At 40.7% G+C, this 16,590-nt stretch overlaps 1 protein-coding gene across 12 annotated transcripts in view; it reads left to right on the top strand.

Moving 5' to 3' along the window:
* Window positions 1-1,749: 1,749 nt before the first annotated feature.
* CDKL2 (cyclin dependent kinase like 2) overlaps window positions 1,750-16,590 on the top strand; it is a 54,033-nt gene continuing 39,192 nt past the window's right edge. For 11 of the 12 annotated variants that reach the window (XM_017008811.2, XM_017008810.2, NM_003948.5 and 8 more), the window contains exons 1-2: window positions 1,750-2,236; window positions 6,261-6,457. In XM_017008811.2, the coding sequence (XP_016864300.1) occupies window positions 6,290-6,457 (168 nt within the window). In that variant the 5' untranslated portion in view covers window positions 1,750-2,236; window positions 6,261-6,289. Of the gene's footprint in view, window positions 2,237-6,260; window positions 6,458-12,706; window positions 12,791-16,590 lie in introns of those variants that run through there. The other variant, XM_047416386.1, reaches the window with a different exon arrangement.

Here is a 16,590-nt window from a genome sequence, read left to right as displayed (position 1 = left end):
ACTCAGTTCTTACTGAAATTGTTTTTTTTTGGTTTGTTTGTTTTCTTTTTTTCAGTCTCCCAAGTAGCTGGGAGTACAGGCGTTCACAACCATGCCCAGCTAATTTTTGTATTGTTAGTAGAGACAGGGTTTCACCATGTTGGCCTGGCTGGTATCAAACTCCTGACCTCAGGTGATCTGCCCGCCTTGGCCTCCCAAAGTGCTAGGATTACAGGCATGAGCCACCGCATCTGGCTGAAATTGTTTCCTAAAGCATCACTTGTTCGCCAAATCCAGTATTTTCAGTCTTTATCCTTTGGTTCCCTGTGAGATATAAATAGATTATTGAAGCTTCTAGGCCTCTTGCATGAAGGGGCCTTAAAATGTTATACGGTTGAATATGATTATAAAGTTGCAAAAGTAAAATAGTTTTGCGCTCTTGTTCTTAAGCTTCAGGCCCAACAAAACTGAATCTACCCCCATATAAAAGAAGTTCATCAGATTCTCTTATAGCCTATAGAGGTACCAAATGGGACAGGGCTTCTCGCAACTTGGACACAGCTAAGGACAGAGCTAATTGCTACACTAAGAGTCACATCTTGAATTGACCAAATAATTCTATTCTTTCCATAACTAGGCCTCAGGTCTGGTTCTCAATATTACAGGTTCAGGAACTAGATTTTAAGCAGTCTGACCAAGGTAATTAACCACTGGGAGATTAATGCAAACTAACCAAACTCACAAAAGACTATAAAAAGAATGTCTATTTCTTAATGTACAAGAAGGAATCAATACCTTAACATTAATGATTAATACCTTAATATTGACTAGGGTATATGGTAGACATTTGTCTATCCAGGACACTCTATTCCCTAAATCAAAGTAGTTTCGAGACCAAAATGATCATGAACATTTAGTTATCATGATTGAAAGTGTTATTTTACTGGCCTTATGGCCTCCTCGCTGCCTCAGATTCTTTGAAAATGGGGTAAGCTCTGTTCCTGTGTGATTTAAGCCTGTGCATGATTCTGACCTACCAGTCTTGCTCAGTCGTGGATTGAGCTGCATTTTTGCATTTAAGGCAAGTTTTATCGCAAGCCCTAACTCCACCCCATTTGGCTGCCATACGCGGGTGTTGTGCGTGTCCTCCAGATCCCCAGCCATCCCAGCGCTTTCCCATTCCACTCATGCCCTCTCTTCCCCTTCCTCCATCTCAGTGTTTTCCCTCACTTTCAATGGCCAGACTGGCCTTCCCAAGGTCCCTCCTAACGTCAGGTCTGTCATCACCTACCTTCTTCCACCTTGCCTCGCCTACTAATCATCACCTCCTAAACTGTCACCGTTATCTCCTACCTGGCTCACACTGGCCCCACCGCCCAGAACAGAAAGGAAGCATGGAATCCCGGTCAGGCCGCGCCTACGCGACTCAGGGCGCCCGGCGCCCGCCCCTGCCCCAGCGGCGATGCTATGAGGGAAACCGTATCGCATTTTGCATAGTCTTCGCAGTCCTACATAACCGCCACCTTTACCCTTCGCGTGGGCATCACAATCGCCTCCTCCCGCTGGGGAAGGCAGAAAGGCGCCTCCTGACGAGAACCAAGGCGTGTGGGGACGCAGGGCCTCTGCGTGTCAGGGAGCAGAACCTGGGCCGAGCCCTAGGTGAAGGGGCGGGGTGGTTGGCCCTGAGCCAATCATGGCTCGTGACGACTCGGCTCGGCCAATCAGAAGAAGGGAGGCCTGGCGCTCTCGGGGCGGGTGAGAAACCGCCCCCCCTTGCAGCTCCGCGGCCAACGCCTTCGCCCAGGGGTAGTTGGAGCGGTGCAGGTTCCCAGGCTCCAGGTACTGGGCGCCTTACGAGCTGGGAGGTGGTGCCTCTCACCCAGCTAATTGCTCTCTAGCCCTTGGCCTTCACAGGTGTTGGTGCCTGCCGTGAACGCATTCTGACCTGGGCCGTATCTGTCTCCCAAGACTTTGTGCCTATGGTTGGGGACAGAGTGAGGTCGTTGCCTTGACGACGACAGCATGCGGCCCGTGGTCCTCCTAAGTGTGAGCTTGCGGCGGACCGAGGCCCACCTGCCTCCCTGCCTGCTTCGCCCTGGACTCGTGACTGCGTCCGCAGAAGAAATCACAACAGCGCTGGAATTGCTAGTTTGCTAGGCAGCATCTTTTGGACCTGCGAACCATATGCATTTCACCTCAAATTTGTTTCCAAGTTGAAAACCTTTGGGTCTTTCTATGCGAACGGATTGAAGAAACGGTAAGTATAGTACGTTTTAAAGCTTCTATTATCTCGTTCTTTGATCTATAAAAGATTTCAATCTTTTTTTTTTTTTTTTTTTTTTTTTTTTTTTTTTTTTTTTGAGACGGAGTTTCACTCTTGTTGCCCAGGCTGGAGTGCAATGGCATGGTCTCGGCTCACCGCAACCTCTGCCTCCTGGGTTCAAGCGATTATCCTGCCTCAGCCTCCCAAGTAGCTGGGATTACAGGCATCACCACCACGCCCGGCTAAGTTTGTATTTTTAGTAGAGACAGGGTTTCTCCATGTTGGTTAGGCTGGTCTCGAACTCGCAACCTCAGGTGATCCGCCCGCCTCGGCCTCCCAAAGTGTTGGGATTACAGGCGTGAGCCACCGCTCCCGGCCCTTTAATCTGTCTTAAACAAAATAAAAAATTAGCATTCTCCAAATATTTTTATCAAAATTGTTGCTTTTAGAACCATCCAGAAATAACACCTTGCCCATTGGCCAGGTTTCTTTTTCGTTTGTATTACCTTTCCGTTCAAGAGTAGAAGGCATGAGAAGTTATAGTTTATGAGTAACTGTTTCAGGAAACAGGAGGCTTTGTAGGCTGTGATACTTTTAAAGTATTTGTGGACAGTGTCACTTGAAAAAGCAGGTGTGTTCAATGTGGTGTGTCCAGATATGCAATTGGTTGGGAGAATAAACTTGAAGCAGTCAACTTGCATTAATGTTAGCTTGGGATATGCTTCAGAACACCTCAGACATGCTTAAAGTCATTTTTTTTGGTTCACTTTGTGCTTTCAAATATTGAGGACATCAATTACAAAATGTTTTAAAATAATCCAGGTTATAGATTCAAGCTATTTTTGTCATTGGTATGATAAACCTAAAGCCTAGTGCTTAATAAAACATACTCTCTTAATGGAAGAGAAAAAAATTAAGAAGGGATAGAATTATATGGAGATTTTTTTTTTCAAATACAAACAGTTTATTAAAAAATAGTTAATGGAAGTGGAATAGAAGGTAAAATGTCAAATGCATGGAAAGTTAGTGTCTGGGACACTGCTCTGTAAAAAGTTTGTAGTAGAATCTACTATGAAAACTGGTAGTAAAATAATAATTTAAGTCGATGTTCATTGGTATTGTTTTCATTTCCCACCCCTCAAGATCAATCTTCTGGTTCTCCACATATAGCTACATTAAAAATATATATATTATAAAATCTCAAACTATTATATGTCAAGTGTGGAAAACGTATTGTATACATTGGATTAGCATAGTTTGCTAGAACAAAGAGAATATTTGTTTTGTCTTTGCATCACTGTTCCAATAGAGAAATAGGAAAAACAGTTCACGATCTGAGTAAATTTTAGATTGCCGTAAGTATACAATTAATACAACAGGCAAGAATTATTTCTTGTTAAAATCTATCTGTATTTGGACTGAAATAATTTTTTATCTATTATTACTGAAATAATAGATAGTTAAAATCTATCTGTATTTGGACTGAAATAATTTTTTTCTGTACGAAAGCATTTTGTCCAATGATTGCTGGACCTTCGTCAATCATTGGTAAAACAAGAAAGATTCTCTTAGGATTGCCTTTATTCAGAAAATGTCATATAATATGAGTAAAAAATTTCAAGGCCGGGCGCGGTGGCTCACGCCTGTAATCCCAGAACTTTCGGAGGCCGAGGCGGGCAGATCACGAGGTCAGGAGATCGATACAATCCTGGCTAACACGGTGAAACCCCGTCTCTACTAAAAATACAAAAAGTTAGCTGGGCGTGGTGGCAGGCGCCTGTAGTCCCAGCTACTCGAGAGGTTGAGGCAGGAGAATGGCGTGGACCCGGGAGGCGGAGTTTGCAGTGAGCCAAGATCGCGCCACTGCACTCCAGCCTGGGCGACAGAGCAAGACTCCGTCTCAAAAAAAAAAAAAAAATTTCAAACACAAATTCAAATTATACTTATAGTGAGTAATCATTAACAGGGTTTTTGAAATACTTTTACTGTACTTGGTACTACTAATATTTAATTTAATTTAATAATTACATTAAATTTAATAAAATTTAATTTAATTTTAAAAATCTGCTTATATACCGATGTCATTACTCTTATTTTCTAAGTTCAATATAGTAACAGTAACATGGCGAAACCCCGTCTCTACTAAAAGTACAAAAATTAGCTGGGCGTGGTAGCGGTGCCTGTAACCCTAGCTACTGGGGAGGCAGAAACAGGGAATCGCTTGAACCTGGGAGGCAGAGGTTGCAGTGAGCCGAGATCGCGCCAGTGCACGAGACTCCGTTTCAAAAAAAAAAAAAAAAAAAAGAAAAAAAAAGTAAAGAAAAATATTTTATGAAAGATGCTCTGTGTTAATTTGTTATGTGATCAAATATTTTTTCCAATTAAGTGGAAGGTGCATAAGTATTTCCAACATTGATCTAAATCCAGTGTAACAAAAAAGTTGATCTTTATTAAAACTAAATTCAGGCCGGGCGCTCTGGCTCACGCCTGCAATCCCAGCACTTTGGGAGGCCAAGGTGGGTGGATCACTTGAGGTCAGGAGTTTGAGATCAGCCTGGGCAACATGGCAAAACCCCATCTCTATGAAAATACAAAACTTACCCGGGTGTGGTGGCTCACGCCTATAATCCCAGCTACTCAGAGGCGGAGGCAGGAGAATTGCTTGAACCCAGGAGGTGGAGGTTGCCGTGAGCCTAAATCTCACCACTGCACTCCAGCCTGGGCAACAGAGCAAGACTCCGTCCCAAACAAACAAACAAACAAACAAACAAAATCCCCCACCAAATTCAGTTATACATCTTTGAGTGAAAAGGAATTGTGCTTTTTTTTTTTTGAGACAGAGTCTCACTCTGTCACCCAGGCTGGAGTGCAATAGTGCTATCTTGGCTCACTGCAACCTCCGCCTCCTGGGTTCAAGGGATTCTCCTGCCTTAGCCTCCCGAGTAGCTGGGACTATAGGGGTGCACCACCATGCCTGGCTAATTTTTGTATTTTAGTAGAGACAGGGTTTCACCATGTTGGCCAGGCTGGTCTCAAACTCCTGACCTCAGGTGATCTGCCCGCCTCCGCCTTCTAAAGTGCTGGGATTACAGGTGTGAGCCACTGCACCTGGCCTGTGCATTTTGTTTATTTGTTTTGTTTTGTTTTTGAGACAGATTCTTGCTCCGTTGCTCAGGCTGGTGTGCAGTGCCATCACAGCTCACTGCAGCCTCAACCTCCTGGGCTCAAGCAATTCTCCTGCCTCAGCCTCCCAAGTAGCTGGGACCACAGGCATACACCACCACACCCAGCTAATTTAAAAATGTCTTTTGTAGAGACAGAGTCTCAGTATGTTGCCCAGGCTGGAATTGTGCTTTTTTTTTTTTTTTTGAGATGGAGTCTCACTCTGTTGCCCAGGCTGGAGTGCAGTGGTGTGATCTTGGCTCACTGCAAGCTCCGCCTCCCGGGTTCACGCCATTCTCCTGCCTCAGCCTCCCGAGTAGCTGGGACTACAGGCGCCTGCCACCAAGTCCGGCTAATTTTTCTGTATTTTTAGTAGAGACGGGGTTTCACCGTGTTAGCCAGGATGGTCTCAATCTCCCGACCTTGTGATCCGCCCACCTTGGCCTCCCAAAGTGTTGGGATTACAGGCGTGAGCCACTGCGCCCGGTCTGGAATTGTGCTTTTTAAAGTGAGTTGTAATTGTTATGTGTGATAGCTCAAGTATTGCTTTATTGGAATTAAAAATATATGGAATTTCATTAACATGACATTTAGTAATTTAAAGTTAATGGCTTCAATTCCATTTGCGTTGTCTATTATGAAATGTGTGTGACCATTTTGAAAACATAGCTTAATGTGTGTGACCATTTTGAAACATAGCTTACATGTAGAAACACTAGGAAATTGTGAATTAATACAGGACAGCCATGAACACAGTGACTAATATGGAAAACAAGCAGGGAAGAATTAATTTGCTGGGAAGGCGGAGGAAATTAACGTACTCAACTTTGTTAAATCTATGTTTTGGTTTTCACAGCAAAAAGTTTCTACGGACTTTAAATTAAAATGGAAAAATATGAAAACCTGGGTTTGGTTGGAGAAGGGAGTTATGGAATGGTGATGAAGTGTAGGAATAAAGATACTGGAAGAATTGTGGCCATAAAGAAGTTCTTAGAAAGTGACGATGACAAAATGGTTAAAAAGATTGCAATGCGAGAAATCAAGTTACTAAAGGTGAGTAAATGCATATATTGAATCAAAAAATATGAGTATAAGTTTCTTTTTTGGCAATAAGAAGAAATACAATGATTAGATATGCAAATTCATTTATCTGGTGAATGTAAACCTGATTTTAAAAGTGTTTGTTCCTTCTCTCTATATCTTTCTGTGTATTTATCAATCATCTATCTATAGTCTGTGTTAGGAGTCCCAAAGACCACCCCAGATTTGATGACTTGTTAGGAGGAATAGCATTAATTTTTGTTCTTTATTATTTCATTTTTTCTACTTATTTGTATGGGTTTATTTTGCAGCCCTTTTCCCTAATTTGTTGAGATAGATGCTTCTCTAATTTCCAGACTTTTTTCCCCTCAAATATGCATTTAAGGATATACATTTTCCTGTAGGAACAGCTTGGTATGTATCCTGGAAATTTTGATTGTTAACAATATTTTCTCATTTCTCTTATATTTTTCTTAATCCCTGAGTTATTTAAAAGTATATTTCTGTATTTCCAATCATGGACATTTTCTAGGTTATTCTTTCCTGGTTATTTATTTGTGAGACAACTGCCCTATGTTCTGAGTATACACCATATAAGAATTTATTTCTTTGAAATTTCTTGATATTTGCTTTTTGTTCAGAATATAGTCAACTAAAAAAAACCCTCTTGTTCTTGAAACGTATTTCATATATGTTCATGTTAATTGTGTTGTTCAAATCTTCCAAATTCTTATTTATTTTCCTTACATGCTTGTTTTATCCAACACTGAGAAGAAATATGTTAAAGTCTTCCTTTGTGATTATTGATTTTTCTACTTTTCATTGTAGTTCAGTTAATGTTTATTTTTATAAACAGAAACAGTATTATTAGTGTGTTATATTTAGAATTATTATATCTTGCTGTTGAGTTAAATCTTTTGTTATTATGCAATAACCCTTTTTATTATAGTAATATTTTGTTTCGTTGGTTTTTTTTGAGACGGAGTCTCACTCTGTTACCAGGCTGGAGTGCAATGGTGCTATCTCAGTTCACTACAACCTCCTCCTCCCGGGTTCAAGTGATGCCCCTGCCTCAGCCTCCCAAGCAGCTGGGACTACAGGTGTGCATCACCATGCCTGGATAATTTTTTTTTTTTTTTGTATTTTAGTAGAGACGGAGTTGCACCATGTTGATTGGGATGGTCTCGATCTCCTGACCTCATGATCCGCCCACCTCAGCCTCCCAAAGTGCTGGGATTACAGGTGTGAGCCACCACACCCGGTCGTTTCATTTTGTTTTTTTGAGACAGGGTCTTGCTCTGTCCTCCAGGCTGGAGTGCAGTGGCATGATCATGGCTCACTGCAGCCTTGAACTCCTGGGCTCAAGCAATCCTACACCTCAGTCTCCCAAGTAGCTGGGATTGCAGGTGTGTGCCGCTATGCCTGGCTAATTTTTTTATTTTCAGTAGAGATAAGGTCTCACTGTGTTGCTCAGGCTGGTCTCTAACTCCTGAGCTAAAGTAATCCTCCTACCTCGGCCTTTCAAAGTGTTCAGATTATAGGTGTGAGCCACCACACCTGGCCAGTATTTTGTTTTAAGATCTAATTTATTTGAAATTAATAAGAGTACATGCATTAGCTTAATTTTGGTTAGCGTTTCCATAGTAAATCTTTTCCATATTTTTACTTCTAATTTTTCTGAATTCTTTTTTTTTTTTTTTTGAGATGGAGTTTCACACTTGTCATCTAGGCTGGAGTGCAGTGGCGTAATCTTGGCTCACTGCAACCTCTGCCTCCTGGGTTCAAGCAATTCTGCCTCAGCCTCCTGAGTAGCTGGTACTATAGGCGCCCGCCACCACGCCTGGCTAATTTTTGTATTTTTAGTAGGGATGGGGTTTCACCATGTTGGCCAGGCTGGTCTCAAACTCCTGACCTCAGGTTATCCGCCTGCCTCAGCCTTCCAAAGTGCTGAGATTACAGGTGTAAGCCACCGCGCCTGGCCCCCTAATTTTTCTGAATTCTTGTTTAGATGTATCTCTTGTGAAAACCGTATAGTTATATTTTGCTTTTTTCCTGTTTGATAATATTTCCCTTTTAATTGGAGCATTTATTCCATTTACTTGTAATATAATATCTGATGTATTTTGAATATATATATCTACCACCTTAATATGTGCTATTTGTATTACCAGTTCTCTATTTCTTTGTCTTTTGTTACTTGGATTGATTACATTTATCATTCCTTTTTTTCTAATAACTTGGAAATTTTACATTGTGTTTCTGTCTTTTAGTGGTTACACTAGGGATTTGTTAAAGTCTAATTATCTAATACTTGTTCTTGATCTTAATAATGGTGTTTGACACAGTCAAATCTTATGACTTTTCCCTTATGGCTATCCAGTTGTCCCAGAAACATTTATTGAAAATACCATCTTTTTCCCCACTGTTCTGAATATTCCTTTTGCCACACGTTCTCCTATATAGGTAAGATTTTATTCTGTCCCATTGGTCTATTTGTTTAAGCTTGCGCCAGTAGCCCACAATCATGTTTATTCTAGTTAGTAGGTTTTTTTTTGAGACAGGGTTTTGCTGTATCACCCGGGCTGCAGTGCAGTGGCATGATCTTGACTCATTGCAATCTCTGCCTCCCAGGCTCAAGTGATTCTCCCACTTCAGCCTTCTGAGTAGCTGGGCCTACAGGCGTGTGCCACCATGCTTAGCTAATATTTGTATTTTTTTGGGTAAAGATAGGGTTTTTCCATGTTGCCCAGGCTAGTCTTGAGCTGCTTGGCTCAAGCAATCCGCCCTCCTCAGCCTTCCAAAGTGCTGGGATTACAGGTGTGAGCCACTGCAGCTGGCCTAGTTTGTAAGTTTTTATATCTGGTAGAATAAATCCTTCTGTTTTGTCCTTCTTCTATAAGACCATCTTCCCTATTTTTGTCTGTTTGCATTTCCATATAAATTTTAGAATCAATTTACCAATGTTCATAAACACTCTAGGAATTTATTGAATTTATACAATCAATTTGTGGAGAATTGATGTGTTTACAATATTGCATCCAGTTCATGAACATTGTATAATCCTTTTGTTTCTTGGTCTTCTTGTCTGTTTTTTTTTTTTTTTTTTTTTTTTTTTTTGATGGAGTCTTGCTCTGTCACCCAGGCTGGAGTACAGTGGTGCAATCTCGTCTCGCTGCAACTTCTACCCGCTGGGTTCAAGCAATTCTCCTGCCTCAGCCTCCCAAGTAGCTGGGATTACAGGTGCCCGCCACCACACCTGGCTAATTTTTGTATTTTAGTAGAGACGGGGTTTCACCATGTCGGCCAGGCTGGTCTCAAACTCCTGACCTCGTGATCCAGCCACTTTGGCTTCCCAAAGTGTTGGGATTACAGGCATGAGCCACCAGGCCTGGCCAGTCTTCTTGTCTTAACATACACTTCGTCATTAGTATGTTTGCACTTTTGATCATTATTTATATGATATATACTTTTTAATCCTTTCTCCTATTAACCTTCTGTGTCGTTAGATGTAAAGTATATCTCTTATAAGCAGATACAGTTATTTCTTTTGTTTATTCAGTCTGACAATCTTTGTATTTTACTTGGAGTGTTTGGTCTATTTATATTTAATATAAAACTTACATATTTGGATTTATACTTCTCTTCCTAGTTGCCTTCCATATATCTAGGTTTTTTCTTTTTAAAAATTATTTTGTTAAACATTCTTTTGCTGGTGTTTTAGAGATTGTTCTAGATATTTTAATATACAAACTTGACTTATTGATACTCAAACAGGTACTTTTACATGCAAAAATCTTAGAAATTTTAACTTCAGTTACCCCCTCCTTTCTCCCCTCCACCCATCAGATATATGTGTTATTGCTGCTATGTAACATTGTTAAATTCTGTGTATAGTTAAATCCCTTTTAAAATTGTTCACAGTCAGCAGTTATTAGGATATACCTAATATTACCCTTTCTATTACTCTTTAATTTTCCCTACATTTCTGAGTTTCCATCTGGGGTCAATTTCCTTATGCTTAAAGCACTTCCTTTATTTTCCTTAAAGCAAATCTGATGATAAGAAATTCTATTCATTTTTGTTAGTGTAAAAAAAAGTATGTATTCTACTTTGTGTTTAAAATACTATTTCAAGCTCGGTGCGATAGCGTGGGCCTATAGTCTTTGCTATTCAGGAGGCTGAGGTGGGAGGATCACTTGAGCCCAGGAGTTTGAGACTGTGGTGTGCTATGATCATGCCTGTGAATAGCCACTGCACTCCAGCCTGGGCACTGTAGTGAGATCTCATCGCTTCAAAAAAAAAGAAAAAAAGGCCGTTTTCTCAGGATATAGCATTCAGGGTTGTCAGTTAATTACATTCAGTATGTTCAAGATAGAATCCTACTGTTCTGGGCTCCGTTGCTTGTATTGAAAAAATCAGACATCAGTCTTACTGTGTTCCTTAATAACCATTTTCTTCTAGATACTTTTAAGGTTTTCTCTTTGGTTTTCAGGAGTTTACAATAATATGCCTAGGTGTGGGTTTTTTTTTTTTTTTGTCTGTTAATTTTATGGCTCTTGCTTCTATCAAATAATGTCATTTGTCATTTTAAAAAAATGCTGGGCATGGTGGCTCATGTCTGTTAATCTCAGCACTTTGGGAGGCCAAGGTGGGCGGATCACTTGAGGTCAGGGGTTCGAGACCAGCCTGGCCAACGTGGTGAAACCCTGTCCTTACTAAAAATACAAAAATTAGCTGGGCATGTTGGTGCGCGCCTATAGTCCCAGCTACTCAGGAGGCTGAGGCAGGAGAATCTCTTGAACCTCGCAGGCAGAGGTTGAAGTAAACCAAGATCATGCCACTGCACTCCAGCCTTGGCAACAGAGTAAGACTCCATCTCAAAAAAAAAAAAAAATGCTCAGCTATAATTGTTGCTTCACATACTGCTACTGTCCCATTTAAGAATTCAGCTTCATATACTAAGATTCATATCAGCTACTACTGATAGCTTGAGGACTTTTAGGGCTAACCCAAATGAAAGGATTTCACCAGCACTGTACTCCTTCTTTTCACCTTCACGGCCCCTGAACGTCAATCACTGCTACCTTAGGCCTGCAAAATGGTGAAAAGTGCTACTGATCCTCTTAGTCTTCCCTCTAAAGTGGCATATGTTTCTTGGGTTAAAAAAAATTTGGCCCTAATTGCCTGGCTCACTTTTCTGGGTTTCTGTCTTCCTAGCCCAGGTATTTTTTACTATATTATCTTTTTCGTTCCTCCAAGTAGTTATGTTATATATTTTGTCCAGCTTTTCTACTTGTATTCAGTTGGAGAATTGTTACAAATTACCAAGTCTACTGTTACTGTGAACAAAAGTAATTATACTTTTCTATCCTAGAATTTTTATTTGGGTCCACATCTGTTATGTTACTTTTCATGGTTTTAAGTTCCCTCCATTTTTTGAGGTTGGCTTTCTTTTTTAAAGAGTAGTAGTCCATATCTGATAATTACAATATCTGAAGTCATTCTGTATCTGTTTCAATCGCCGATATGTTCTGGTATTTCTTACTTATGGTGTCTTATTTCATTGTGTGCCTGCTTATCTTCAATTTTGTGCTGAACCTTATCTTTGAAATACTATTATTATCATTATTATTATTTTTTAGACAGGGTCTTGCTCTGTCACCCAGGCTGGAGTGCAGTGGTGCAATTATGGCTCACTTCAGCCTCAATCTTCCAGATTCAAGCAGTCCTCCTGCCTCAGCTTCCTAAGTAGCTTTGAAGCTTGGACTACAGGCATGTGCCACCATGCCCAGCTAATTTTTTTAATTTTTTGTGGAGACAGGGTCTCAGAATGTTGCCCAGACTAGTCTCAAACTACTGAGCTCAAGCAATTTTTCTGCCTCAACCTACCCAAATGCTAGAATCATAGGCGGGAGCCACCACGCCTGTCCTGAAAGATTACTTTTTAAAAATAATTTGAGGCTAAGGTAAAAATATTTTTCTCCACAGACAATTTTTATTTCATTCTTCCATGTTCATGGGCACTGTGCCAGTAATCAATTTATTGTCTCTCAACTCCAAATCACTCCTTTTTTTTACCTACTTTGTGATATTAGAACTGGACTCTGTAAACATTTCTTTTTTATTGCCCGCTGATTTGATTTTAGGTTTTGTCAACAGATAGAGGGCATGGAAAGACATTGTCGGTCCTTAGCAAGAGGAAGAGACTTTTCTTCCAGCTTCTGGTGTGCTTTTTTTTTTTTTTTTTTTTTTTTTATACAGCTGTGAGCCCATCACCATGTGGGAGGTCTGTTAGCTCACTTCAGCATCTTTCAAGTACCAGTTCTGGCCTACCTGCACATTCTGGTGAGTTTCTCTACCAACTGCTGGCCACTCTACAAACCATCTCTGGCCTGTGTGCTCTGGTGAATTTTTTCACTATTGGCAATCTTTAGATTTTTGTGGCTGCTGGGCCATTTCCAATGAGGACTATGTGTCTGGTGGTTATTGGGGGCTCTTCTACATTTTTAGTTCCTTCTTGTCCCTATGTATTTTCCTTCAGCCCTAAAAGTGGGGCTTCCTGTATTTGCTAGTTTAAACATATCCCTTACAGTCTTCTTTTACCCCCTTTAGTAATTAACTACCCTTCATAATGAAAAATATTTACATTAAAATTTTCCCAGTTCTGGTTTCTGTCTGATACAAGCACACTACCAGCTCAGGACCTCCTTAGTAAGTTCAAAGTTCTTGCTTATAGTCTCTTTTTATCTTGTGTTTCTCATTATCCTTTAGAATTGAATGTTGTTTTTGAAATTTTATTTGTAGAAATATTTTGAGGCTAAGGTAGGGTTTTCTTTGTCCAGAGGTGATATTCATTTGCTTCTGACAGGTACATGGAGATGCTCCCAGTCCAGTATGTGAATCCATGTTCAAGGCTTTTAGTTCCTTGAACGTGATGTTAAATTAAGTCTAGTGATGCCTCGTTTATTTCTGTTCATTTTCACTCTGGAGGATGTAGTTTTTTGGGTCCTAGCTTTAATTGGAGGTGGTTTCTCAGATATCCCACCTTTAGAAGGCTTTTGGACTTTGGCTTTTCCCTTTTAGCCCTGGGGAGCCACAAAAATCAAAGCTCATTTCCACACTTGTTACTTGATGTCAAAATTAGCTTTGAGTCCCGAGGTTAACTCTCTGGATTCTCATGTTCTTGATTTTAGCCCAGTAATCCTCACTGTCGTTTTAGCCTTTTATATGTTTAAGAAGATTTTTTGAAAATTAATCCAACTTTTAAAGAATTTTCAATGGCTGGGCGCGGCAACTCACGCTTGTAATCCCAGCACTTTGGGAGGCCAAGGCGGGCGGATCACCTAAGGTTGGGAGTTCCAGACCAGCCTGACCAACACGGAGAAACCCCGTCTCTACTAAAAATACAAAATTAGCTGGGCATGGTGGCGCATGTCTGTAATCCCAGCTATTCGGGAGGCTGAGGCAGGAGAATTGCTTGAACCTGGCAGGCGGAGGAGGTTGCGATGAGCCGAGATCGCGCCATTGCACTCCAGCCTGGGCAACAAGAGCGAAACTCCGTCTCAAAAAAAAAAAAAAAAAAAAAAAAAAAAAGAATTTTCAATTGGAGGCCTGGTCTGAGTTACTCAGTCTGCCATTACCAAAGAAGGTAACCATCTGCCATTAAAAATATAAGCACAAAGACAGAGAACCTGTGGAGCTGATAGTCTGTGCTTTTTTTTTTTTTTTTTTTGAGACAGAGTCTCGCTCTGTTGCCCAGGTTGGAGTGCAGTGGCACGATCTCGGCTCACTGCAACCTCCGCCTCCTGGGTTCAAGCGATTCTCATGCCTCAGCCTCCTGAGTAGCTGGGACTACAGGCACCTGCCACCACGCCTGGCTAATTTTTGTATTTTCAGTAGAGACAGGGATTCACCATTTTGGCCAGGCTGATCTTGAACTCCTGACCTCGTGATCCGTCCGCCTTGGCATCCCAAAGTGCTGGGATTACAGGCATGAGCCACCATGCCCGGCCGATAGTCTGTTTTAATTATGATTGCAGGTTTGGAGCTACTGTGGAAATCTTTGCAAGAAGGACTTGACATAGAGTAGAGAAAGATAAATTATCTGGTGCTATAGTGTGAATTTTTAAAGAGTAAAAAGTTTTAGTGTAATGTTTTCTTCTATTAGAAATGTGCCAAAACAGCCCAATGGAACAAGTGACATTCTAGTATTATTTAGATTTCTTAATTTGATAAAATAGAACTTGTCAGAATTTATAGTTCCATTAGGATATGAAATTTGTGGGTTTTGGGGCATTTTTGTTGGTTTGTTTAGTTTTTTTGGTTTTTTTGAGAAGGTGTTTTAATCATGCCTCTACCAGTTATTGCTGTGTGACCTTGGACAAGTTCCTTGACCTCTGTGTGAGTTAGTTGCTTCAGCTATAAAGCAGGATAATAATTGTACCTATTTCATAAGGCTTTTGTGCTTAGAATAGTACCTGGAACATAGTAAGCATTGTGTAAGTATTAGTTATTATTATGTATAATATCATACTCTTTTATAACTTTTATTTTTTTCTTGGCAACGCTTCTTTTACATTGTAAAATGTCTGTTTTAAGGGAAGGCAGGGTAGAAGTTTGTGTTTTTTTTTAACTTTTAAGTTCAGGGGTACATGTGCAGGATGTACAGGTTTGTTACATAGGTAAACATGTGTCATGGGGTTTGATGACTTGGAGCTCTTTCCAAATGGACTAGACTACCAACTAGTTCAAAAGTACTTGTTTCAGATTATTAATAATGGAATTGGATTTTGTCGCAGTCACGATGTAAGTCTTGGGTTTAAACAATTATTTGTCAGTCATTTTTCCTGGTCCTCTCCCTTCTCCCACCCTTTGCCCTCCGGTAGGCCCCAGTGTGTGTTGTTCCCCTCTATGTGCACTCATCATTTAGCTCCCACTTATAAGTGACAACATGTGGTATTTGGTTTTCTGTTCCTATTAGTTTGCTGAGGATAATGGCTTCTAGCTCCATCCATGTCCCTGCAAAGGACATGATCTCATTCTTTTTTATGGCTGCATAATATTCTATGATGTATAACTCTTTAAAAAACATTTTTCTATATGATATTTGAATTCCTTTTTTTTTTTTTTTTTGGAGATGGAGTCTTGCTCTGTCACCCAGGCTGGAGTGCAGTGGTGCAATCTTAGCTCACTGCAACTTCCGCCTCCTGGGTTCAAGCGATTCTCCTGCCTCAGCCTCCTTAGAAACTGGGATTACTTCATTGATATTACTTCATTACTTCATGGTGGTGGCCAGGCATGCCACCACGCCTGGGTAATTTTTTTGTATTTTTGGTAGAGATGGGGTTTTGCCATGTTGGCCAGGTTGGTCTTGAACTCCTGACCTCAGGTGATCCACCTGCCTCAGCCTCCCAAAGTGCTGGGATTACAGGTGTGAGCCACTGTGCCCGGCCCCTGAATTCCTTATATTATTTTTATATTTATATTGGATATGTTTCCTTGGTAATCTTTTTTCATTTTTTAATTTTTTAAGAGAGTCTCACTCTGCCCCACCCAGGCTGGAATGCAGTGGCATGATCATAGCTTATTGCAGCCTACAATTCCTGGCCTCAAGCTATCCCTCCACTTCAGCCTCCCAAAGCGCTGGGATTACAGGCATAAGCTACCATGCCTAGCCATATTGCTTACCTTGATAACTATAGTGTTAAATAACACAGTTACTTCTTTGTAAATTAATTATTCTATTTCTATTTCATTTTCTCTCCCACTCACCTACCATCTGATTTTAGAAAATATCTTATTTACTTTAGTGTTTTGTTTTTTCATTTTGTTTCAAGATAAGGTCTTGCTCTGTTGCTCGAGCTGAAGTGCAGTGGCATGATCATGGCTCACCACACTCATTGCAGCCTCCAACTCGTGGGCTTAAGTGATTCTCCCACATTAACCTCCCAAGTAGCTGGGACTAGAGGTGTGCCCAACCACACCAGGCTAATTTTTAAAATTTTTTGTAGAGATGGGGTCTCACCATGCCCAGGCTGGTCTCAAATTCCTGGCCTCAAGTGATTCTCTTGCTTTGTCCTCCCAAGTCACTGGGATTACAGGTGTGAGCCACTGCACCTGGTGTATATATACACTTTTATCTTGTT

The sequence above is a fragment of the Homo sapiens genome, chromosome 4 (genome assembly GCF_000001405.40).
Source record: "Homo sapiens chromosome 4, GRCh38.p14 Primary Assembly".
In the NCBI taxonomy this organism is placed as follows: domain Eukaryota; kingdom Metazoa; phylum Chordata; class Mammalia; order Primates; family Hominidae; genus Homo; species Homo sapiens.
The sequence above is the reverse complement of the archived record's forward strand: the minus strand, read 5'-3'. Positions and strand labels throughout refer to the sequence as shown.